Here is a 25,633-nt window from a genome sequence, read left to right on the forward strand (position 1 = left end):
CAGCCTGTGACAGTCATCAATCAGGGATTTCAGGGGCAGCTGGGGCTAGCGCAACTTTATCAATGAAGATCACTGAGGAAACTCTTGAGAAAGTCTTTGTGTGGGTCAGACATAGGCAAAGCAGCTTTGTTCTCAGCCATTGTCATCACTGAAGAATAAGGGAAGGTGGTGGTTGGTATCCAAAAGCGGCCTCTGTGAGCCACCATGCCCATATTCGCGCCCTTGTTTAGACTTTTTCCCCTTCCACCTTGTATCTGAGCTGCCCTGTGACTTGACCTCACCAATAGAACGCAACTGAACAGATGCTCCACCAGTGCCAGGCCTCAGTCTCAAGGAGACCTAAGAGCTTCTGCTCTTGTGATTTGGGAGCCCTGAGCCTCTATGCATGAAGTCTGGCCACCTTGCTAGAAAGGCTATAAGGACAGCCCATGTGGAGTGGCCACGGGAGATTACACAAAGAGACACCGTGTCCTGGCTGAGCTCAGCCTGCCAGCCCTCTCAGCCAAGGTGCAGAAAAGTGAAGAAGCTGTCTGAGTTGTCCCAGTCCCAGGAGATGTCACATGGGACAGAGATGAGCCAGCTTCATCCACTCTGCCCTGATTCCTGACCCACAGAACCTTGAGAAATAATAAACACGGTTGTCTTCAGCCACTACATTCTGGGGTAGTTTGTTAAGCAGCAATTCACAACTAAACAACTAAACATAACGCAGTGTGAGTTAAACAACAAAAACAGAGAGGTAGTGGGGTACCCATGGTTTGGAGTCAGGGGTCCAGAATAACAAACAGACAAGGGATGAGGTGTGCTGGCCTCAGGGGTGGGCGTCAGACAGACAAGGGGAGGAAGGGTGAGAACCATCCCAGAAAGTAGATCTCCTCATGGGGGTGTTCATTTTCAGCAAGGAGAATTCCTCTGTGTCTCTAGGCAAGCCCATGGCACTGAGCAGGGAGAGAGGGAAGGGAAGGGTCTCACATTTGTTTGGGATCTGCTATGTGCCAGAGTGTGGCCACCGTCTGGCTGAGAGTGAGACCTGGTCTCTTAAAAATAAATAAAAACTAACAATTTTTAGAAATCCTTTCTTTTTTTTTTTTTTTTTTTTTTTGAGACAGAGTCTTGCACTGTCGCCCAGGCCAGAGTGCAGTGGCACGATCTCAGCTCACTGCAACCTCCACCTCCCGAGTTCCAGCGATTCTCCTGCCTCAGCCTCCCAAGTTCCAGGGATTCTCCTGCCTCAGTCTCCTGAGTAGCTGGGACTACAGGCGCCTGCCACCACGCCCAGCTAATTTTTGTATTTCTAGTAGAGACGGGGTTTCACCATGTTGGCCAAGATGGTCTCGATCTCCTGACCTCGTGATCCACCTGCCTCGGCCTCTCAGAGTGCTGGGATTACAGGTGTGAGCCACCGTGCCTAGCCAGGAATCCATTTCTAATGTTTGGGCATAGCTGTGGATCTCTCTGAATATAAGTGCATCTGGCTGTGGGAAGGGCAGGATGGAAGGAGAGCTCGGTCCCATGTACTCAGGGCCCTACAGAGGCCCTCTGAGAATTGCTGACAGCTGCAGGATTGAGTGCCTGCTGGGTCCCTGCTGCTTCATCACCTTACGCCATTCATCTGCAAAGTTTGTCACCTTACACCACACCTCTGCAAAGTAGGAATTGCTGCTCCTTTTACAGATGAGGAAGCCCTCACAAGGTCACCAGCAGGAAGTGGCCCACCTGCAACAGGAATGCAGGGAGTCTGTGTCTCCCAAGCCCACTGCAGTCTCTGCCTCTACCAGTGACCCCGGCAGGTGGACGGGCACACCTGTTCCTAGTTCTGATGGCCAAAAATATTCCAAACCAAATGTGAGGCCCCTGGCAGCACAAGTTGAGCCTTAAAACAGGAAGTGTGGGAGGGTGGGCTGTCAGCAGGCAGATCTCCAATGTGTACCTCTTAAAACCTGTCTGGACATAGTTATAGGAAAGCACGGCAGCTTAGCAGGTGCCTAAACAATAAACACATTTCTTCTTTTATTTTAATTCCTGAGTGCCTGTTCCACGCCAGGGTATTGGTTGGTAAATTCTTTATTGCATTTAAACCCCACAACAAACCTACAATGTGGATATCGTTATCCCCATTCTGCAGCCAAAGAAACTGATGTTCAGAGAGATTAAGTGACAAGCCCACACCTGCCACACTTCAAAACCTGTGTCCTTTCCACTTCAGGTATGTCAGAGAGATAAGAACAGAAAGGTTAATCCTCATATGACACTCTGAAGTAAATGCTTGCTTTATTCTCATCTTTTCAGGTTAAAAAAAAAAAAAGTAAGATTCAGCAGGGTTTATGGCTCATTTAAAGTCCCCAGATATGAAGTGAAGGATTTAGGATTTGAACCCCAGTCATTTCCTTTCCATTACCCTCTTCAAGGGCAAGGCCCCAGCTTATTCTCTTTTGGCATTCTGCCCATCAATGCGCCATAAGTGAAAAAGGATGGAGTGTATAAGTCCCAGGAAGCTCTGAGCCCCAGGAAGGGGAGAAAGGAGAATTGGGCAGGAATATACATAAAAAGCGAAAAGATGTGTGGGCGAGAACACAGCCAGACCAACTGCTTCCTTTCTCTTTACCACACGCGTGGGGTTGCTGCAGGCATCCTTGGAGATTTATTCTGTTTCCATATATGGTATCTCTGGGACGGCAGGGGTTTCTTTCTGCACATGACCTTTTCCCCTAATAAAATGCCTTTGTCACTCTCTGATGACCTATTCACAGCTTTTCTCCACCTTTTATATTCTTTTTTGGCTTCAAGAACATCTATTTTTCACTCAGCCAATAGTTTTGCTCAATATCGAATTCATCTCCTGTCTTGAAATAAAGCCAAATGGGGATGGGATACAATTATTTGTCGATTTCAAGCCAGCCCATATGTCTACCAATATGAGAGCTGAGTTTTCCTCATGGGCAATCTTTGTTTTTAGTAGAATTACATTCTAAGACGGTGGCCTGCTTTGACATCCTGAAGAACAAGCATACTATATCTTTTATCTCTCAGTACATTGTAGTCAAATGCTTAACTCCCTTCTGTAGCTACAGGCTGAGGCCAGACTCTGTTGCCAGGACCAAGAACACTACTGGTGGGACTTCAGGGAACAACCCTGCAACCTGCTCAGACAAGCCATGGTTCTGTGGTGCAGCAGGAAGGCAGACTGATGATGGCTCTCATAATGGGTAGCAAAGACCAAAAACTCAGAGGAATGTTCGAGGTACACGTCAAACACTAGGACAAAACACTAGGACAGACATTTTTACCAAGGGCCCGAGGATGGAATTCAGGCATTCCAAGAACATGAATGGGGAAAAAAAATTACATCTTTATTTTCATTCATCACTAACTGAAATTTAGCTTTTCCTTCAATTATAAAAGGAAGCAACAAACCAGAGTAGTATTCATAGTACTGGGTCTTTGTCACCATAGACATGTGGATATTTTTATATCATGTTACAGTTGTTGCAGATATACAAAAAAAATTTTTTTTTTTTTTGCCCGTTACTACTTCAAACTTTATGGGACTAACCCTACCCACACTAAATGTTGTTATTAAGTTCATTAATAGGAAGCACATGCCATACTAATTCACAAATCGGGGTTTTGAAGTTTTTTATGTATCAATATAATAAAATATTATTGAATTATGTTTTACTTATCGTATGTACTTTATTTTCTGCATTAAGAAACATTACTCTGAGAAAGGGTCCATAGGCTTCATCAGACCACCAGTGGGGCCCATGCCATTACAGTGGTTAAGATCTTTTGCTCTAAGGGAAGCCTGAGGCTCCTAAATCCCCCTCAAAACAGGAGATGGAGAAAGAAAAGGAAGAAAGAGGAGGTGGAAGAGGATGGGGTATGACGGATGGAGGACTCCGTTAGCCTGTTTTTTTTTTTTTCTTTTTTGCATTGTTTTAAAGAAATAACCCGAGGCTGGATAATTTATAAAGAAAAGAGGTTTAATTGGCTCATGATTCTTTAGGCTTCACAGAAAGGTGCAGGCTTTATAGATTGGCTCACGATTCTGCAGGCTTTACAGAAAGCATAGTGTGGGCATCTGCTCCTAGTGAGCCCTCAGGGAACTTCCACTCATGGTAGAAGGGGAAGCCCATGCATGACATGGAGAGAGAGGGAGCAAGAAAGAGAAGGGGGAAGTCCCAGACTCTTTTAAACACCCAGATCGCATGTGAACTAATTGAGCAAAAACTCGCTCATCAGCAAGGGGTTGGTGCTTCGTTCATGAGGGATCTGTCCCCCATGATCCAATCACCTCCCACCTGGCCCCATCTCCAACACTGGGGGTCACATTTCAACATGAGATTTAGAGGGGACATACATCCAAACCATATCAAGGAGAAAGAGTATGAGGACTAGAAATGTTACCAAAGGAACCCAGAGGACAAAGAAAGAAAGACAGAAAAAGCAGAGCTTTCCAAACTCAACCCAAGAACACACCTAATAATACTGAGGAAGGGAAGCAAAAGTTTAAAATAAGGACTAAACAAATCTTGAAACTCTCTACACTCAAATATCTATTGCAAGGTAAACTCTGAAATGCCTAAAGAACAGCCTCCCACCAGAGTAGCCCTGCTTCTGATCCAGAGGCTGATTAGAAAAGCTTCCGCCTGAGCCTGCTGAAGCTGAGGCTGAAGGAGGGCTATTCTGGGATTTGCACTACATCCTAATGTGGTGTGGTAGGACTCACATTCCCTCTTGCTGGGTGAAAACAGCAGAGGATGTATTCTGGATGCTTAGAGCCCTGACAAGGCACTCCAGCTCAGTACATGGCAGAGCTGATGACCACCAGTGACTTCCCCCAGGAACAGCTCAGAGCTGGTGCCCCACCCCGAGGTAGCCTGGGAGCAGCAGGCTTTCGTTCTGGCTCCCAGCATGCTGAGTCATCCTGGCTGTTGAAACAGTCCATGCTCTCTCAGTTTCTCCTTTGGCTTCTTATGTCAAACTAGATCCAATCAGAATTTTCTCATGCCCCTTCCAACTCTGATTTTCCTGAGGTGGCTATTGAGACCAATACCCCCATTTCCTGCTTTCTAGCATCTTCTCCATCCCTTTCACTAAGGAAAGGAGAAGGGATCGGAGCTCGTCATAGGTTGGGCTCTCCTAGAAGCAGACCCGGAGACCAGGTGAAGGGAGCTGATATAGTTTGGATGTTTGTTCACTCCAAATCTCATGTGGAGTAACCCCCACAAGAATATGAGAATGGGAAATGTTACTAAAGGAACATTTGTGGTTCTCAATGTTGGAGGTGGGCCCTACGGGGAGGTGTTTGGATCATGGGGGCAGATCCCTCATGAATGGCTTAGCACCATCTCCTTGGTGATAAGTGAGTTCTCAGTTGGTTCACAGGAGATCTGACTGTTTTAAAAGAGCACCTCCCTCCTCTCTGTCTTGCTCCCACTCTCACCCTGTGACATGCTGGCTCCCTGTTGCCTTCTACTATAATTGCAAGCTTCCTGAGGCCCTCACCAGAAGCAGATCCCAGCACCCTGTTTCCTGTACACCTGCAGAACTGTGAGCCAATTTAACCTCCTTTATTTATAAATTATCTAGCCTCAAGTATTTATTTATAGCAACACAAAAACAGACTGATACAGAACATTAATATTGAAGAGTAGGGCATTGCTGTAAAGACACCTGAAAATGTGGAAGCAGCTTTGGAACTGGTAATGGGCAGAGGCTAGAAGAGTTTGGAAGGCTTAGAGAAGACAGGAAGACAAGGGAAAGCTTGGAACTTCTTCGAGATCAGTTAAGTGATTGTGAGCAAAATTCTGGTAGAGATATGGACGGTGAATTCCAGGCTGACAAGGTCTCAGATAGAAATGTGGAAGCTATTGGGAACTGGAGGGAAGCTCACCCTAGTTATGCCCTAGCAAAGAGCTTGGCTGCATTGTCTCCATGTCCTACGGCTTTGTGGAAGTCTGAACTTGAGAGTGATGACTTATGGTACCCAGTGGAAGAAATTTCTAGACAGCAATCTGCCCCTACAGGCTTACCACCACATGGATGCTGGCAAGGCTTATGGCTTGTGTCCTAAGTGTTCAAGAAGTGGAATAGTTGCTTCTAACAGCCTACAATCAGAGGAGGGAGCAAAAGAATAACTTAGAGTTGGAACTTATGTTTAAAAGGGAAAGAGAGCATACAAGTTTGGAAAATTTACAGCCTGGCCCTATGGTAAAGAAAGAATCCAAGCAGGCTGTAGAGCGACCACTTGCTAGAGAGATTAGCATGACTCAAAGGGAGCCAAGTCCTAACATCCAAGACAATGGGAAGAAAGATCTCAAAGATATTTCAGAGATTTCTAACACAGCTCCTCCCATCACAAGTCCAGAGGCCTAGGAGGAAAGAATGGTTTCAGGGGGCAGGCCCAGGGCCCGTTCTCCTGCTCAATCTCAGGACACTTGCTGCATCCTGGCTACTCCAGCTCCAGCTGCAGCTCAAAGGGCCCCAGGTACAGCTTGGACTGCGACTCTGGAGGGTTCCAGTCATAAGTCTTAGCATCTTCCATGTAGTGGTTAAGCTTATGGGTGCACAGAATGCAAAGCATGAGGGAGGCTTAGCGGCTTCCACCTAGATTTCAAAGGACGTATCAGAAAGCCTTAGTGCCAAGGTAGAAGCCTGATGCAGGGGTGGAGCCCCCACAGGGATACTCTACTATGGCAGTGCTGAGGGGAAATGTGGGGTTGGAGCCCACACACAGAGTCCCCACCGGAGCACTGCCTAGTGGGGCTATGGGAAGGGGGCTGCCATCCTCCAGACCCAAGAATGATAGATCTCCCAGCAGCTTTCAACCTCAGCATGGAAAAGCTGCAGGCACTCAACTCCAACCTGTTAGAGCAGCTACATGGGCTATATACTGCAAAGCCACAGGATGGAGCCACCCAAGGCCTTGGGAGCCCACCTGTATTAGTCTGTTCTCACACTGCTATAAAGAAATACCTAATTCTGGGTAATTTATAAAGAAAAGAAGTTTAATTGGCTCACAGTTCTGCAGGCTATACCAGAAGCACAGTTCTGGCATCAGCTTCTAGGGGGGCCTCAAGAAGCTTACAATCATGGCAGAAGATGAAGCAGGAGCAGGCACATCACTAGAAAAAGCAAGGGCAAGGAAGAGAGGGGAGAGGTGTCATACACTTTTAAATGACTAGATCTCACAAGAACTTACTCACTATCACGAGGACAGTGCCAAGAGGATGGTACTAAAGTATTCATGAGGGATCCACTCCCATGATCTAGTCATCTTCCACCAGGCTTATCTAAGACTGGGGATTACAACTGAACATGAGATTTGGCCAGGGATAGAGAACCAAACCATATCACTAATCCTTGCTCCGGTGTTCCCTGGATGTGAGACATGGAGTCAAAGGAGATTATTTTGGAGCTTTAAGATTTAATGACTACCCTGTTACGTTTCAGACTTGGGTTGGGCCTGTTAACTTTTTCTTTGGGCCAGTTTCTCCCTTTTGGAATGGGAATGTTTACCCAATGCCTGTACCACCATTGTATCTTGGAAGTAAGTAATTTGGTTTTGATTTCACAGGCTCATAGGTGAAAGGAACTTATCTCCAGATGAGACTTTAGTCTTTGGACTCGGAACTTGGAGCTCTTGATTAAGTTGATGCTGGAACAAGATAATACTCTGGGAGACTATTGAGAAGGGATGATTGTATTTTGCCATGTGAGAAGGACATGAGATTTGGGGGACTGGGGCAGAATAATATGGTTTGGATATTTGTCTTCTTCAAATCTCACGTTGAAGTGTGATCTCCGGTGTTGGAGGTAGAGCCTGGTGGGAGGTGTTTTGGATTCTCATGGCAGATCCCTCATGAATGACTTAGCACCATTCCCTTGGTGACGAGTGAGTTCTCACTCCGAGTTTATGTGAGATCTTGTTGTATAAAAGAGCGTGGCACCTCCCCTCTCTCTATTTCTCACTCCTGCTCTCCCCATGTGACATGCTGGCTCCCTGTGGCCTTCCTCCATGATTATAAGCTTCCTGAGGCCCTCACCCAAAGCAGTTGCCAGCACCATGCTTGTTGTACAGCTTGCAGAGCTGTGAGCCAATGAAAGTTATTTTCTTTAGAAATTACCCAACCTCGGGTATTCCTTTACAGCAATGTGAAAACACACTGATACAGGAGCCCTGGTAGAGGAATGGGGAAGACACAGGGAAGGGAAAGTGGCCACTAAGGAATGTGTTATCATGCCAGCTACCTCTCAGGGGGGCATGAGGCTTAATACCACTGGGAAAACTCTGAGATCCCCAGTAAGAAACACAGATCAGAGGTACCTCACCCGAGGGGCAAGGGAGCTGGGGTACTGATACTCCACACTCCCTCAGCCCATGGCTGAAAGATGACAAAGGAGAGTGGTGGTAATTATTTCTCTGTCAGCAGCAAGAGAAAAGCCATCAGCCTAGCAATGCAGGTGGCAGCATTTGGAAGGCAGTTGGTAGGTACTAAGGAGGGACAGGTGGCCATGGCAGGGCACCAGCAACACTGCTATGAAACACTAAGATTTAAAGCTCTTACTAGATATCATACACTCTGCTAAGCACGCTACAAACTTGATTTCATTTCATCTTTACAATATCACCATAGGACTGATATTTTTAGCTCCACTTCACAAAGGAGGAAATAGAGGTACCTTCTTCACCTGCCCAAGGTCAAACAACCAGTAACACACAAAACTGAGAATTGACTGAGGTTTGTCTAGCTCAGCATACAGCTCCTTGATTTTCCCACTACATCTTGGTCCCTCTAAAGCCTCGGAATGCCCTGGGGGCAGGGCCAGCCTCACAGATATGTGGCCCAGGAAGTCACAGACGGCCCCATGCTCAGAGGATCCTGCACTTGGTTTAATGCTATGCAATTTTTGAAAGAGGGGCCCGTTGTTTTCATTTTGCACTGGACTGCAAATTATGTAGCAGGTCCTGCCTCATGGCCTTGCTCACCCAAGTTCTAATCTCCCTAGGAAGCACATCTCAAACTCTTAGCTGCTTAAAATCTCACTGACTTAGATTTAATTGAAAAATCCTTTCCATCTGTATAATAATTTTCCACCCCAAAGTTACACCAAGAATTAACAGGTGATAATGATTTAACAGCACACTCCAAGCAACAAAGACCAGCCAGATTCTCTCTCAACAGCCCTGGCTGTTACTTTAATCTTCTGGCTTCTTCCCTGTGTCGCAGCACAGCAGTTAATGACCTGCAATAAATCCAAGAAGTTGTGATTTGAAAGCTACTGAGGCCTGGCAAGGAAACAGATCTACATTTTCATTGAGAGGTGGTATCTAGGTTACCTGGGCCCAGCAAGGATTCCTCGATATTAAGGCTGTTCTTCTTTTAAGACCTAATTCGACATCTCTACTGTCTCACCCAGGGACTTGTATTTTTTCTTTTAATCACTCACGCCTACCCTTTTATCTAACCTTTCCAGACTGCTTGCTCTTTAAAGTGTAATGGCTGTATTATCAGACAAAGCTGATCGTAAATGTGGTGCTGAAGGGGAATGGCCTGAACAGCTTGAAGATGTGGGCCCCAAGATTGGGCTCAAATCACATGCTAGAGCTGCAGCACTGTCCTGGGCACCTGAGCCCCTGACCCCCAACCCAGATGGGCACATGAGCAATGTAGGGCGACTCGATGAGGTATTTCTTGGGGCCACTAACACTTTATATACACCTTTCCAATTCCAATTCCCCGTTCAGCTAAACTCTCTCTACTTATAGTTAGATCTATTTGATGCAAGCTAAGTTTGAAGTACTCTGCAGTCTGCTGGGGAAGTGTATAAACAAGCTCTTTGTTCTCTCCAGCAGCATCCCTGGAGGAAACCCAAGGGAATTCCCAAGGGAATACAGGTCCACAATCCCTTATCCTCAATTTCAAAATAAAAAAAAAGCACAACAAGCTGAGTTTTTCTCAACTTATTTGGTCAAAACCTGGCCTGAACTAAGTACTGCCTTTAATTATCCTTTTAATGCTAATATCCTTACTTTTGCAGCAGAATTATTAATGTGATTGACAGCGGGGGACTACTCCAGACCTACTGGGGCTGTTACATGATATGGAATAGATGCACCATAATACCTTTCCAAGATCTGACAAATTCTAAATTCCAAAGCACATCTGTTCTCCAGGGTTTTGGCTAAGGGATTGGGCCTCTTTCTTAAACACAGCAATCACAAGATATTCACAGTTCAGGGTGTGAAGCAGGTACAATCTCTTGCCAAAACAGCTGGAAATCTGAGAAGAGATGAGACACACACATAAATAAATATCCTACAAAGTGGGACACGATCATGTCTAGTTAGGGGAGATCAGGGTGTGCCTTATGGAAAGGGGAACATTATCCAGGGTGTGCAATGGCATGGAGGCAGGAGGCTGCAGGGGAAATGTGGGATCAGGGCTCACTTGTACAGAAGCAAAAGGCCTAGGGCGAATGGGAAATAAAGTTGGAAAAGTCACTGGGGACACATTGGAGAGGACTTTGAAGGCCAGACTGAGGCAAAGTTTGGCGGGGCAACTGGGGCTGTGTTCCAGGAAGTTAAATTCTTGCAAGGCTGAGGGAGCAAAGTGGGTAACTGGCCGGGAGACAGTCACAGGAATCCCACAGAAAGACGATGAAGTCAGGCACCAGGGCGTGGGCTTTGGAGTCAGGAGGAGGACAGATTCAAAAGGAACTGTGGAGATAGAGGGAAAGGGTCCAGGAAATGTGTGGAGCCGCTGGTTTGAGCAGGGGGCTGGGCGGGCCCTGAGTGCCCATGGGCGGGCCCTGCCTCCTCTGCCTCCCTCCCAGCTGATGCACAGCCGCAGCTCTCCGGCTGCCACGGGTCTGGCCTCAGTGCCATCAGCAACATTCTTCTTCATTTGTATTTCTCTTCTAGCCTACCCAGCAATACTTAATTATTTAAATCTCAATTAATCCCCGTAAGGGTGCTTGCATGGGAAGTTTGTTTAATTACCTCCTTTAAACTCCCCTGTTGCACATGGCCTTGTCGGGTTTACTGATCACTCAACCACCAAGCTTCTCTCTCCGAGCTGGCAGCTGAAGTAGCTCAGAGGAAATTCTTCAGGAGCAAATTCCAAGGCTCACTGTGCTCCTCCTTTCACTATTCAGGCTGCGCTACAGTGGAGAATGGGGGCTCAGGACAGTCACCGGAAAGAATGGAGGCATCAGAGTCTTCTCCTCGATGCCCCGCCTCCCTTATGTGCCAGCATCCCTGCCCTGTCCCAAAGCTACAGGCCAGGCATTTCACATCCTTTCCCCTCAGCCAGACACGGGGCTCCCATGCCTGCATGCACGCAGTTTGACCCATTCTGTGCCCATTCAAATCCCTCCCTTCTTTCGGGGCCCAATTCAAGCCCTTCCTTTTCTAAAATGCCCTTCCTGCCCAAACTCTTTTTTACCACCTGGACATTCTCAGAACCTGGCTCAGTTCCTGGCCAGTTGGCTGGGTACATTTCACCAGCAAAACTGACCTCTGCCTCCTTTGAGTTCTCATGAGTTCTCCTCTCATCTCAGCAGCTCTTTGAATGCAGTTATTTTCAGCATGTATTGCTTCACGCACGGAGACCACACATTTCCTAGGAGCAAAGGCATACCGTGTCCTCACAGCACCTCATACAGTAAGCGCTCAGACATTGCTTGTTATGTGTGTGTTAAAATACACATAACGTAAAACTTGCCATTAGCCGCATTTTGTACATTCATGATGTTGCGCAGCCCTCACAACCATCTGGTTTCAGATCATTTCCATCATCCCAAAAGGAAACCCTCTACGCATTAAGTAGTCACTCTTCAACCCTGCCAACTACCTGGTGGCCTTTGTCAGTACAGATTTGCCTATTCTGGACATTTCCTACAAATTCAATTATAGAAGATGTGGCCTTTTGTAGCTGTCTTCTTACACATAGCATAATGTCTTTAGGGTTTATCCATGTTGAACTATGTATCAGTATTTCATTCATTTCATGGCTGGATAATATTCCATTCTAAGGATACCACATTTTGCTTATTATTCATTCGTATTTTTTTTATTCATGGATATTTGGGTCAAACATTGCTTTTTTATTATTAATATTTTTCTCTGGAGTATTCACTATTGTCAATGAACATTTACCCTCTACACAGCATATGGTACAGATGGCAAGTACCCAGGTACCAAGGGGCAGGTACCAAACATCTGAAAATAAGAAGACAGCACTGCAGAGCCCTACACAGTCAATGGGGCACTTTGGCCGAGCCTGTCTCACCTCATCTTTACAACTCTTGGAGGCAGGTCCTATTACCTCCAATGAACACAGGAGAATATGAGCGTTAGAAAGGAGAGTGACTTGGGCAGGGCCACAGGGCCCCCAAACTGGAGAGCTGATCCTTATCCTCTGCTTCTCAACTCTTTCACTATGCCATGCTGCCTTTCTGACCCTGAAACATAGATGAGAGTCTTGTTATTCTTCAGTGCGGGGATCATCTCTTCTCGAAGTCTCCGCTAAGCCATTCCCTTGACCCCTCCCATCCTCAGGGGGCCACCCTCTCTCTTCCCACACTGTGTCCTGTGCTGACTTCTGTGTCTTCTTAATTTCTAGACCAGTGGGCTCCACAGTGGTACGTGTCTCCATGAGACATCAGAGAGCAAGAAGAAAATACTAGAACCTTCATGTATATTTATTGGCTGTCTCATCTTTCTAAACTTGATAGTTTTTATTATGTTTCATAGTGAACACAATATATAATACAGTATTCCATGCATATGAATAAATACATATTATACGCCAACCCTTTTTATACTAAAGGGCTTTCAAGTAAGGACTCCACTGCATTCCTATACGAGGTTCTTGAATTCCGACTCTAATTAATCTCTGGATTCACAACTCTGTGTCAGTGCCTGACACATAATCTCCGAGCAGATGTTCAGTATATATAAATTTTAAAAAAATTTTAAATGAGTGGCTTTCAAAGACCTTTCCAGCCTCCTCATATGCAATTTCCTGATATCAAGCTGAAATCTAACTTCTTCCCTTTGAGTTTCTCCAGGAGGAGAACGAGACTATATTGCTTTTTTCCTTCTGCGACCTCTATTACTATGAAGCAGCTCTGATGAAATGGTTCTTGGTGCATTTAGAACTGAATTTGAGTTGTGTCTCTGCTTCATCCTAGCTCTGTGACTCTGAGTTCATTACTTCACTCTCTGAGCCTTAATTTCTCCATGTTGTATGCTTCTCAATCTACAATGAAGTTCAAATAGGAGGTATATGAATGTTTTTAGAAAATCACAAAACATTATAGATGGTAAGCATGAATTATTTTCTTCTTTAACTCATTTTTTTAAAATTTTATTATTATTATACTTTAAGTTTTAGGGTACATGTGCACAAGGCTAACATCAGAAAGACAGCAGCTTCTCTGTATTAAGCAATTCTTGCATTGCCATAAAGAAATACCCGAGACTGGTAATTTATAAAGAAAAGCAGTTTAATTGGCTCACAGTTCTGCAGGATGTACAAGCATGGCCCTGACACATGCTCAGCTTCTGGGAAGGCCTACAGGGAGCTTTTACACACTAAGAAAAGTGAAGCAGAAGCAGGCACATCACACAGGGAGAGCAGGAGCAAGGGAGGGGGTGGTGCCACACACTTTTAAATTACCAGATCATGCAAGAACTCACTCACTATCAGGAGGACAGCACCAACGAGGGATCCACCCCGTGGTCCAAACACCTCCTACTAGGCCCCACCTTCAACATCAGGGATCATATTTCAACATGAGATTTGGCCGAGACATATATTCAAACTATATCATCTTCCTTGGTATTTACCCAAATGAGTTGAAAACTTAGGTCCACACAAAAACCTGCACATGAATGTTTATAGCAGCTTTATTCACAATAGCCAAAACTTGGAAGCAACCAAGGTGTCCTTCAGTAGGTGAATGGATAAATAAAATGCGGTACATCCAGACAATGGAATGTTATTCAGTGCTAAATAGAAATGAACTATCAAGCCATGAAGACATGGAGGACATTTATGTACATACTTCTAAGTGAAAGAGGCCAATCTGAAAAGCTACATATTGTACAATTCCAACTATATGACATTCTGGAAAAAGCCATGGAGAAAGTAAAAAGATCAGTGGTTTCCAGGGGTTAAGGGGGAGGAAGAAATGAATAGGTGGAGGATTTTTAAGGGCAGTGGATTTGGGGGGCAGTAAAACTACTCTGTGTGACATTATAACAGTGGATATATGCCATACATTTGCACAAATCCATACAATATACATCAACAAGAATGGTCCCCTAATAAAAACTATGGACTTTGGGATATAATAATGTGTCGATATAGGTTCTCAATTGTAACAAATGTACCAAATTGTAGCAAATGTGCAGGGTGTTCATAGTGGAGGAGTCTGGTGGGGTGCGGCAGGGGGTAAACAGGTACTGTCTGTTCTTCTCAATTTTTCTGTGAACCTAAAACTGCTCTAAAAAAAAAGTCTATTTTTAAAAGTCAGCAACTCAACAGAATTTTTAATGATTAGAGCTTCTTTTTGATAATTTTTTTTTAAACAGGAAGATAGGAAACTATATACACATACAAACACACTAAAAAAAAAAACACTAGGAGAAAATTGTTAGCCATGGTTGCCTCTGGATAGTGAGGTCACAAATTATTTTTAAATTACACTCTATTGTTTGTGCTATTTTCTAAATCATGTACAATAAGAAAACATATATTTGAATAAGAAATAAGTTATCAAAAATATTCAACCATCTTTTCTCAAGAAATATCATGCATCTTGTGTTTTAAAATTGAGATCTATTTAAATTCAAGTGTGTCTGCTCCATCAGTTCAGTGGTTGTTAAGGCCTACTGTATGCACCAGTTCTTGTGCTGGTGCTTATGTGTTGAAAGATACAAACAAGAAACATATCCTGCCCTGGGGAAGTTCACAGCCTTGTGGAGGAATCAGAAGAGGCAGAACCTTGTTGGTCTGTTGACTCCTAGACGTACACATGAGGTTTTCAAGAAGAGGGAAGAAGATCCATTTGGAAGGACATAGCGGGGGGGGGGCAGGGAAGTGAAATGAAGAAAGGCTTCCTGCAGCAAGTGGTAGGTGAGATGGTCTTAGAGATGAAATATATCTGAGTATTTGGAGGAGTTGGGAGGAGGCTATTTAGGCAGATAGAACAGCATTAGCAAAGGTGTCAAACTGGGAAACTGTCTCATGTCTAAGAAATTCAGCAATCTAGTAACTTGGCTGGACCACAGCATATATGTCCAGTAGCTTTGGAAGATAAAATGGGAAAATTGAGTCTGACCTACCAATGAAGGTGGTTGATGCTACAATGGGCAGTTGTGTTTGACTTCTTAGGCAATGGGGAACTACTGGAGGATTCAAAGGAAGAGGAAACTCCAGTTGCATTTAGCAGGTTACAAAACAATGTGGCTAGTAGGTCCCCATTTTTTGGTAGATATAATGTGTGTGTGTGTGTATTTTTAATTACATGTGGACTAAATTTTTTAAAATAAGCATATATTACTTTCTCAACTGAGAGTGAAGCCATGGTTATTTCTGTTTCAGGAAGGAAAAGATCTTCCTGATTGAATGATCACTCTTTATGAATGTAGAGGATGAATTGGAAGGGATCAGCCTTTAGACTTTTCAGACAAGATCTGAAAAGGGGATTTTCAGACAAATCCCTCGGGGATTGTGAGACATCCCCACTTCCATGCCCACTGCCTGCAACTCTCTCCCTGCTACTCTCTCCTTACTATGCACATACATGAACATTTCTTTCTCTCTCTCTCTCTCTCTCTCTCTCTCTCTGCAATGAAATGGAAGTTTATGTCCCTCCCCAAATTCACATGTTGAAATGTAACCTCCAGTGTGATAGAATAAGGAGGTGGGGCCTTTGGGGGATGATAAGATGATGAGGCTGAAGCACTCACTATGGGATTAAGCTCTTACAAAAGAGACCCCAAAGAGCTCTCTCACCTCCTTTCTGCCCTGCGAGGAAACAATGAGAACTCAGCAGTCTGCAACCTGGAGAAAGGCTCTCACAGCACACAAACGTGCTGGCAGCCTGAGGCTTCAGACTTCCAGCTTCCAGAACCACCAGAAACAAACTGCTGTTGTTTTCAAGCCACCTAGTCTATGGTATTTTTGTTATAGCAGCCTAAACAAACTAAGACTCTCTCTCTTTCTCTCTCTGTCTCTCTCTCACACACACACACACCCCTCTAAAGTTCAAGAAGAGAACCTCCTCGAAGGCAAGATGATCCAGATGATCTCAGAAATAAAAGTGCCCAGAAAGGAAAGATCTTCACTATTGATGAAAGCTGATGTCTTTGTACAGCAGACAGTCAGAAATGCAACTTGTTACCTGTTGGATTCTATCTTAACATGGGGCTCAGAATTGAGGGGTGTTCACTCTTTCATTCAAGGTCTCCCTTGATTTAGGCTACTTAAATCATTTGCTTCCTTATGGCTTGTATATCTACCCTTCTCTTAATAGTCTATTTAAAGCTAGAAGATGAACCTCATTTTTTCCAAATGTAATTTGAGAGAATTTGCATGATACACGCAGTAACAAGTGGCTCCTGAATTATGTATGATCCCCTCTAATGGGTCGGAGCTTGTTTGGAAAGTGTGGTCTTATAAACTACCAGGTTTGCTTTTTATGGCAAATTGAATGCCATTCCCCCGTCTTGCTTTACATATTCTCCTAATTAGGGGAGATAAAATAGATTTTAGACCTGAAAAAAGAAATTTCTTTCCAAGAGCCCACACTTGTATGGAGAATTAAGCTCATTCCAGTCAGCTGCACCCTCTAATTTAGAGCTGTTGTCAGCATAAAGTATAATCATAAAAGATTTCTCCATCAGTGGCTCTTACGCAATAGATTTCCTAAGGTGACTTTTTCAAGCTAAGGAGGGGACGGTGAGGTTTGCTTCTTCAAGGTGGCCTGGGGGGAGGCTGGGATGAGACTTGGGTTTCACCAAGGATGACTTAAACTGTTCTGCAGTTTGCTTATCTATTCCTGGGGAAGCAGAGTGAGTTTGAAATGAATCATTGCTACCACTTACTGGACTCTGACAGCACCCCAGGCAGATGAGCTAGGTGCTTGGGTGGTGCAGTCTTGGCATGAGGTGGCTCATTGGTGGCACTCAGTCATCAGGCAGTGAGCGGGCACCCGTGCTTGGGGTGCAGTGGGAGCTCGAGGTGCAGTAGCCAAAACAGAGGCCTTTCCCGCCCTGCTGCACGGTACACAGAGGAGTGAGCAGTGGGGTTGGTTGGGGTGAAGGTTGTGAAGAGGAGTGAGCCGAGCATGGAGGGAAGGTTGGAGGGTTGCTTATAGTTATCCGGGAACCGTTGAAGCTTTGTGATTCTGGGTAGTGGAGTTGCTGCTTTCTGTTCTCACTCTAAGTGGGAAGAGACTCTTTCAAAGAGAGTGTAACTCCCCCCTCCCACCACTTCAGGCCATAGAAATACACCATCTCCATAGAGCAGGGGTGTCCAATCTTTTGGCTTCCCTGGGACACACTGGAAAAAGAATTGTCTTGGGCCACACATAAAATACACTAACACTAACGATAGCTGATGAGCTAAAAAAAAAAAAAAAAAAATCACACACAGAAAAATCTCATAATATTTTAAGAAATTTGACGAATTTGTTTTGGGTCGCATTCAAAGCTGTCCTGGGCTGGGCTGTGGGTTGAAGAAGCATGCTGTGGAGCAAGGGCACACACAGATGCAAGAGGGAAAGCGCCAACACCAAACACCATTCTCCGGTCAAGAGGCAACGCCTCTATCCTTTCTGGGCTCCAGAACACAAACCTGAAGGAAGAGCCAGACAGTCCAAAAGCCATGTATTTTAAGACCAGAGAGAGCAGGAAGATTCTTGTCTCTCTATATAGCCTATTTTTCCAGCCTCATTTCCAGCTCAGGCATATCCTCTTATTGGCTCAGCTGTTCATGAGAGTGTATTCTTTTATCAGGGTGACTCCCTTGCCACCCACAGACCATAACTCCCAATGGGACAGTCATATCAGAGCCTATATTGTCCTTATGAAATGGCAAATTTCCCCTGGAAAGGGCCATATAGCAAATATGCTGTGGGCCACACGGTCTCTGTTGCAACTCTTCAAGTGTTCTATTGTAGCCTGAAAATGGTGATAGACAATAGGTCAATGGATGAATGTGGCTGGGCTCCAAGAAAACTTTATTTATAAGAAGTTTGGCAGAGGGCTGGATTTGGTCCAAGCCATAACTTGTCAACCACTGGTGTTTTGGTGTGAATGTTTGTGTCCCCTGCCAAATTAATATGTTGAAGTCCTTACCCCCCTGGTGATGGTATTAGGAGGTGGGCCCTTTGGCAGCTGATCAGGTCAGGGAGACACGGGTTTAGTGCCTGATATGGTTTGGCTCTTTGTCCCCACCCAAATCTCAGCTTGAATTGTAGTTCCCACGTGTCAAAGGAGGGACCTGGTGGGACGTGATTGAATCATGGGGTTGGTTCCCCCATGCTCTTCTCTTGATAGTGAATGAATTCTCATGAAATCTGATGGTTTAAAAGTGTGCGGCAGTTCCTCCTTTACTCCCTCTCTCCTGCTGCCATGTAAGACGTGCCTTGCTTCCCCTTCACCTTCTGCCATGATTGTAAGTTTCCTGACTCCTCCCCAGCCATGTGAAACTGTGAGTCAATTAAACCTCTTTTCTTCATAAATTACCTAGTCTCAGGTAGTTCTTGATATGAGTATGAGAACCGATTAATACAGTGCCCTTGCCAAAGAGGCCTGAGGGACACTCCTTGTTCCCTCCACCATGGGAGGACAAAGCAAGAAGGTACCATCCATGAGTCAGAAAACAGAACCTCACCAGGTATCAAACCTGCCTTCACCTTGGACTTTCCCAGGCTCAGAATTTGAGAAATAAATTTGTTTTTTATAAGCTACCCAGTTTATGGAATTTTGTTACAGCAGCCTGGGTCTAGACATCTTACATATGTCAGTGTTAAAGACATATTTAGTATATTATTAATCTAGTCAAATTGTTTCCAGCCTCTTCTCTAGCAACAGATGGAGATAATTCCTACCTGTCTTAGTCTTGATTGTCTGCTGAAAACTGCTGTGAGTAAGAACATTCACCTTCCCCAGGTCAAGCAACGGTTGCACCTCAGTCCATTCTATAATCAAACAGAGCCACAAAACATCATGCCAGGTGAGAAAAATGCATCTTATTAGAACATATAGCTCTGACTCAATGGAACCCTGCAATATACAAGTCCAGGCAGAAAAACTTTTCCAAGAAAACATCTGCATTCAAGTTAATGGTACCTTCAGTTTTTCCCCCAAAAAAATGATGAGAGGAGGATCTTAACTTTACATTTTTATAACAAAAGAGCCTCTCAAGAGAGTTCTCTTCAAAATAAAAGCATCATCTTTGCCCAGGGAAATTTTACTTCTGTACCCCTGAGAGGCAGAAGTATGCTCACAACTTTGAAAAGGGGGGTTGGAGTTTTTGTTTTTGTTTTGAGAAACAGGCTTTCACTGTCACCTAAGCTGGAGTGCAATGGAGCGATCATAGCTCACTGCAGCCTCAAACTCTTGGACTGAAGCAACCCTCTTGTCTCAGCCCACTGAGTAGCTGGGACTACAGGCCACCACGTCCAGCTAAAATGGCAGGATTTTTTGCTTCTACTCATCAAGAGCCCGAAATCAGTCTCAGGGCCCAGTTTCTGCCAGCACCACCAACAGCACTCCCCATTTTCCAACACACAATACACGAGAATCACAGAATGGTCCAGCAAGTCCCTGTGGCAGCTCCTGCATAGACAGACCTAACCTAGATCTGGGATTGGATAAGGTTTTCATGGCAGAGGTCACCAGAGCTGAGAGCAGAGGATGGGAAACAGTCGGGTGGACAGCTAGCGAAAGTAAGAAAAATCCAGGAGAAACAGCATGGGCTGCTTCTCTTGTAGGGGAGAAAAAAGCCCAGAAACTGCTAGAATTGGAGAGAGGTTTAGTGAGGCTGGAGCAGGGAGCACAAGGATGTCCTGGAAAGGTAAGCAGAGGCCAAGTGGTGCAGAGTCCAGGTGGTGCAGGATGGGTTATGATGCTTGGAACGGAGCCTATGAAGCATTTTAAGCAGAGAGGTCATGTCCTCAGATCAGCCTCATGGACAAAATCACAATGGTTATGACTCACAGAGCATTTTATTCTGCACTAGGACCTGAGCTCCGTGCTGTCCACATACAATCCTTTTATCCCGGGGAGCAGCCTGGCATGGGACAAAGAGCCCAGGACCTGGAGGCCAACTCCTGGGTCACGCACCTGAGAATGAAGACCACTCTCCTTGTTCTCCTCTAAACTCAGACCTCAGAATGGAGTCCACAGACCTTTGAGTCTTCAAACAAATAATTAAGTAACTGGGCAAAAAAAAAAGCAATAACCAATATTCAAGAGATGCTCATTTCATGGCTAATTTCTTCAGACTCTGAATGTATCAGTTTTGTGCAGTGGCTGAACTGGACCCATTCAAATAATAAAGAGAATTTAGACACTGTAAAGAATGAAGAGTGGAATAATTAAGACACATTTGTGAGCTCAGTGTGAAACAAAGAAGTCAGCTCCAAGAAGTCACCTTATTCTTGGGAGAAAAAGAGAAAGAGAGGGTAGTCTTTTGTTTTCTCTCAATTGCCTTTGGGATGTCAAACACATTTTTTTTACATCTTAAGTTTTCTGCTGATTTTTTGTTTGTTCTTGGAGGGCAGGAGGTAGGAAGGGTTCTGCTCCAGTGCCCTAGCATGGATTTTGTAAAAGAGTCCAGTGGAGCTGCGAGATAATAAAGAATATTTTGCCTCTCACAGGGAGGCTCCAACCCCAGACTGACAATGACCCCAAGTGTGCATCTCCAATTTACTTTTTTCCTTTGAAATGTCACTAACACAGGCCATTATCATCTTTTTTTATAAAAAGTAAGAAGCTTTTAAAAACTACCAGGAAAAAAGGAATGGTCTGCTGCCTTCAGTACTTAGAGAAATCATGGGGAATAGAAAAGCATTTAAGACCCCCCGATTTCACAAATAGTCTTGGCCCTTTTTGTCTTGTCTTCCAGGAAGCTTGGAGTTTAATCTGGTATTCAATTGCTGTTTAAGTGTGATTTTAAGATAGTAAATGTGATTTTAATATGAGTTACTGCTTTTTACTTTCTGCCTCTATCTTCTGTGGTTTTAGTGTATGGTGTGTGTGTGTGTGTGTGTGTATGTGTGTGTGCAAGTGTATACACACTATATAAAAACCACCTCAAATCCTTTACAAAAATAACAAGAATAATATATTTTAGAAGCCAGAAAATCCTGCTTCCTGCTGTAGTCACCATTTATTGGTCTCATTTATGAAGCTAGAACATAAGAGAAACCATGCCTTAGCAAACTGAACAAGGGTCCCTCACCTCCCCTAGTAGTCCTTCATCTGAGAATAGAAGATACGAGACAGGCACTAAGGACATTGGTTCCATTTTTTCTCCCAGAAAACCTTTCCTAAAGCAGTCTCCTGAAATCAATAAGGCAGCCCTGTTTCCTTCAGTAGAGTGTACAGTAGTTGGTAACAGGTTGTATTTTCAAATACAGCCGCAGTAACATCTTTCATCCCATCTGCTCTTCTAATGTGACTTTGACATTCTTCCCACAGAGAGGTGAAGTCTGTTTCCCTCCCCATAAATGTGGGTAGGTTGGTGACGTGGTGGATGTAATGCAATATGACTTCCAAGGCTAGGTTGTAAAGGTGACACAACTTCTGCCTACCTCATTTTAGAACACTTGCTCTTGGAACACAACCACCATGTTGTGAGGAAGCCCAAGTAGCCACATAGAGAGGCCACGTGTAAGTGCCCTGACCAATAGTCCTCACTGAGGTTCCAGTGAATAGCCCGCCTCAACCGTGAGACAAGTGAGTGACAAGCTTTCAGATAATTCTAGCTTCCAGTTGTCAAGTCACCCCACCCTTTCAGTTTTCCCAGAAGAGGCTCCAGACAACATGGAGCAGAAAGAGTTGCCACCATGACCTTTCCAAATTCCTGACCCACAGGGTCTGTGAGCATAATATACGGGTTGTTGGTTGACAACCCTAAATTTGGGGTGGTTTGTAGGAAAAGTGGACATCAAATTGGATAACTGTGGTTCAAATCCTAGTGTTACCACTTGGTGACCTTAACCAAGTCATTTAACTCACATAGTTCTTATGCTTCTCATTTGCAAATGAGATTAATATCTGCTTCACAGAGGTTTGTTCAGGGTTATATAAAATTTTGTACAGGAAAGCATTTGGTAAATATAAAGGAATGCTATTCAAACAGGAAGAACTATTACTTTTTAATTGCAGAAATGTCTGCAGCAATCCAAAGGTGAATTCAGCAGGAATTCTACATGACCCTGGTGGATATGCTAGATGGGGTCCTTGGGGCAGATGCTTCTACCTTAACCTTGATTGTGACCTAAAAGGTAGTCATGAGTAATCCAGAAAGGAAGTGAAAAAGTATGTGAAATACATTTAATATTATACTTGTACTAAATAGGGTTGTTTTGAGCATTAAATGGTATAATACATTCATAATAAGGTTGAACATACATTTTTCAGAAATTCTTTGAGACTTACCTGCAAGCCAGGCTTATCCCCATTCCATGTAGAAAACTAGGGGATTCTTCTTTAGAGAAAATGTATAGGATACAGTATTTAGTAAGTGTTCAATAAATGTACACTATTATTCTTGTGTGATCTGAAATGGTCTTATTTCTGTGCAAAGTATTTCTTTTGGAGGAAATATCTTTCTTGAGATTTTTTAGGAAAAATCCAGTGTCTCTCTGTCTCTGTCTCTCTCTCGCTCCCATCCCCTTTTCCCTTCTCTTTTTCCCCCTCTCTCTCCCTCCCTCCTTCACTCTTTTCCTTCCTCTCCCGCTCCCTCTGCAGAGCTCTACAATTTTGAATTGGCCTAGACTATGGTGAGATTTCCTCTGTTTAAACCCAACATGTGTATATGAGCAAATCTTATGAGTTCAGTGATTTCACACACACACTAGCTCATTTAGTACCGGGGACTGCCCAGTGAGTTGGCAATCACAGCACCCGTTTTACAGACGACAACAGTGAGGCTCAGGCAGATTCGTGGTCTTATCCAGGATGTAGCATCAGCGAATGGCAGAGCTTGGACTGGGGAGAGCCCTTTTCTCTTGATCTGTTTCTTACTCCATATTCTAGAGGCCTGAGACGATGTCATTCTGTTTTTAAACATTACAATTAACCCCTAAACTGAAGCTGAGGAAAGAGTTAGCATGCTGGTTTATAAAGGCTAGACTCATTTTGATACAAAACCAAGATATTTGATGCACAATGTGAACATATTGCTCATTTTCAGCAAAATCAATTTTGTTTTGTTTTGTTTTGTTTTTTGTTTTTACCGTAGGGGCCACTCATGCACTCAGGCAAAGTGGAGAGACTAGAACTCAAAACCTGTGCTTTCTTTAGCAGATCATACCCTTTCCCCCAATAAAAAAGGGGCAGGGGATGCTAGAGAACAGTTCAAATCCAACATCACTGATGTCAGGCACCAAATAAACTCAGCAGATGTTATTATGTCTGTACGGGTTTTGTTTTCCCCTTCCTGGAAAGAGAAATAATGAGCTCTTGAAATTCAGATTCCCATTGACTCTGAAGTCATAAACATATTTAAAAACAGTGTGAGTCTGTGACATTTACAATCACAAAATTCATGTCAGAGAATAAATCCAGCATTACCTCCAATCACTGAATATGGAATACCCATTCATCTCCACCCACGTGTTGGGGGACACACACTTCAGAACGATGATATTCAGAAAATGCCAGGAGGAGTGCATGTCAGAGGTAACCACCCTCAGCAACCCAGCCTGTCAACAGTTGCAAATGCACGAAAAATGAGGGGAACCGGAAGACAGCAGCAGGAAGGAGATAATAGAGCAACTGAGAGCAGCCAGCCTTGACGTTTGTCAACCTCTGCCCGAAACAGCACATGTGGCTTTGCTGAGAGGCACAGGTGTGTGGGCTGAGCTCAGCAGATGAATGTCACATCCGGGAGGAGGCATGTGCATTTCTCAGCTTGAAATGCTTCCCCAACAAAACCAAATAAGGTTCCTGCAGATGACGTCAGGAGGCTTAGCTGCTACTGCCACAAAGGGACAATTTATTGAAGAGCTAAAAATGGTCGCCTCCGCAAGGCTGACAGGCAAATATTTGAGGGAACGCTCCCCTTGTTTTGAAGAGACATCTGCCAGCTCCCTGACTGGCACCTTCCTGCATTAGTCATCCTGCTGGGCCTTGCTAAAAACTCCAAATACAGGTTTATCCCTGCCACATCCTGTTCCCCGAAGGGGCTATTTCCACGGTGCCGGCTGTAAAGTCTTCCTGTCATCTTCCTCTCAAGTGCTCTCTGTCTATCTCTGCAGAGGATGATGGAGAGGGGAGATAAGGAACATTCCATGGATAGAAACACACATCCCCTCAAGAGATATCTTAAGAGCACCTTTGCTTTACTTTTGAACCTACATCTAGCGTACAGATGAGGGCAAGGAAGATGTTGAAACGTTAAAAGAAACATCCCTCCGTTTTGCTAATAGTTTTTATAATTAAAGGTTGAGCAAAGGGTGCCCAAAGAGTCATCCTGACCTCCTGCAACAAGTCATTTTGGAACACTAGCTCTGCAAAAGAAACAAACTGGTCCGTGCAGTATTCTCTAGACTACTCACTCATCAGCCCGTTGAAATATGTACTTGGTTATTTTCTGCTTTCAGCGTGTCTTGTCACCCCAAATAGATCAGAAGATCTGGAAGCCTACTGTTATCATTTACCCCTTTTTGCCACCTACAGGGCTTGACCAGGTACTCAGCCCCTTTCTACAATTCTTTATCTCACTTAAGGCTCACAAACAACCCTGTGAAATCGATTACGATCCTTCTTTTACAAACAAGAATTAGAGGCTCATTGAGCCCGTGGTCCTGCAGCAAGTCCGCGTCTGCAGAGCTGAGATCCACCTGGAGTTTGTCTGACTCTGAAGCCCATACCCTCAGCACCTTCATGTTGCAGGGGCCGCTGCAAATCCAACACTGGTTGACGGAGCAGTTTTGATCCTGAGGCCCTTGTGATTTCACTGAAGAGTCAGTCGAACATGAAACTCAGAACAAACACAAACAACTTAGAAACAAGGGCATGTCTGTGAGATGGGTCTCTGAATGGACTGGATGAATTCTCCACCCACGGGCTTCGTCCTGCCCTTAGAGCCAAACAGAGCACGTGTGTCCCTCTGCAGCCCTTTGGAGGTTTGCAAGTGGTGGTTACATAACCTCCACACACCCCTCGTATGATGGTTAATAATGAGTGTCAACTTGATTGGATTGAAAGATACAAAGTATTGATCCTGGGTGTGTCTGTGAGGGTGCTGCCACAGAGATTAACATTTGAGTCAGTGGGCTGGGAAAAGTAGACCTACCCTTAATCTGAGTGGGCACCATCTAATCAGCTGCCAGCATGGCTAGAATATATGCAGGCAGAAAAATGTGAAAAGGGAGA

General features: G+C 44.4%; 1 protein-coding gene across 3 annotated transcripts in view, besides 4 other annotated features; it reads right to left on the reverse strand.

Annotated features, from left to right (window-relative positions):
- Positions 1 to 25,633, reverse strand: part of NBAS (NBAS subunit of NRZ tethering complex) — a 782,426-nt gene that overhangs the window by 339,316 nt on the left and 417,477 nt on the right. For 2 of the 3 annotated variants that reach the window (XR_007076390.1, XM_017004317.2), the window contains exon 52: positions 19,132 to 19,221. Coding sequence is in view for 2 of the 3 variants with exons in the window: in XM_017004317.2 (XP_016859806.1) it covers positions 19,180 to 19,221 (42 nt within the window). In the remaining variant the exon portion in view is untranslated. Of the gene's footprint in view, positions 1 to 12,061; positions 12,469 to 19,131; positions 19,222 to 25,633 lie in introns of those variants that run through there. The other variant, XM_047444733.1, reaches the window with a different exon arrangement.
- Positions 23,577 to 24,776: an enhancer, noted in NCBI's record as "BRD4-independent group 4 enhancer chr2:15281925-15283124 (GRCh37/hg19 assembly coordinates)". NCBI's record gives its function as "activates an origin of replication core promoter dependent on BRD2, P300/CBP, MED14 and CDK7 cofactors, and independent of BRD4, by STARR-seq in HCT116 cells {active_cell/tissue: HCT116}" and the evidence as "EXISTENCE:reporter gene assay evidence [ECO:0000049][PMID:35650434]".
- Positions 23,839 to 23,908: an enhancer, noted in NCBI's record as "active region_15344". NCBI's record gives its function as "activates an Ori minimal core promoter by ATAC-STARR-seq in GM12878 lymphoblastoid cells {active_cell/tissue: GM12878}" and the evidence as "EXISTENCE:reporter gene assay evidence [ECO:0000049][PMID:35858748]".
- Positions 24,261 to 24,555: a silencer, noted in NCBI's record as "tiled region #9127; HepG2 Repressive non-DNase unmatched - State 21:Repr, and K562 Repressive non-DNase unmatched - State 22:ReprW". NCBI's record gives its function as "represses a minimal TATA promoter and a strong SV40 promoter by Sharpr-MPRA in HepG2 and K562 cells {active_cell/tissue: HepG2 | K562}" and the evidence as "EXISTENCE:reporter gene assay evidence [ECO:0000049][PMID:27701403]".
- Positions 24,299 to 24,388: an enhancer, noted in NCBI's record as "active region_15345". NCBI's record gives its function as "activates an Ori minimal core promoter by ATAC-STARR-seq in GM12878 lymphoblastoid cells {active_cell/tissue: GM12878}" and the evidence as "EXISTENCE:reporter gene assay evidence [ECO:0000049][PMID:35858748]".

The sequence above is a fragment of the Homo sapiens genome, chromosome 2, assembly GCF_000001405.40.
Source record: "Homo sapiens chromosome 2, GRCh38.p14 Primary Assembly".
Classification (NCBI taxonomy): Eukaryota; Metazoa; Chordata; class Mammalia; order Primates; family Hominidae; genus Homo; species Homo sapiens.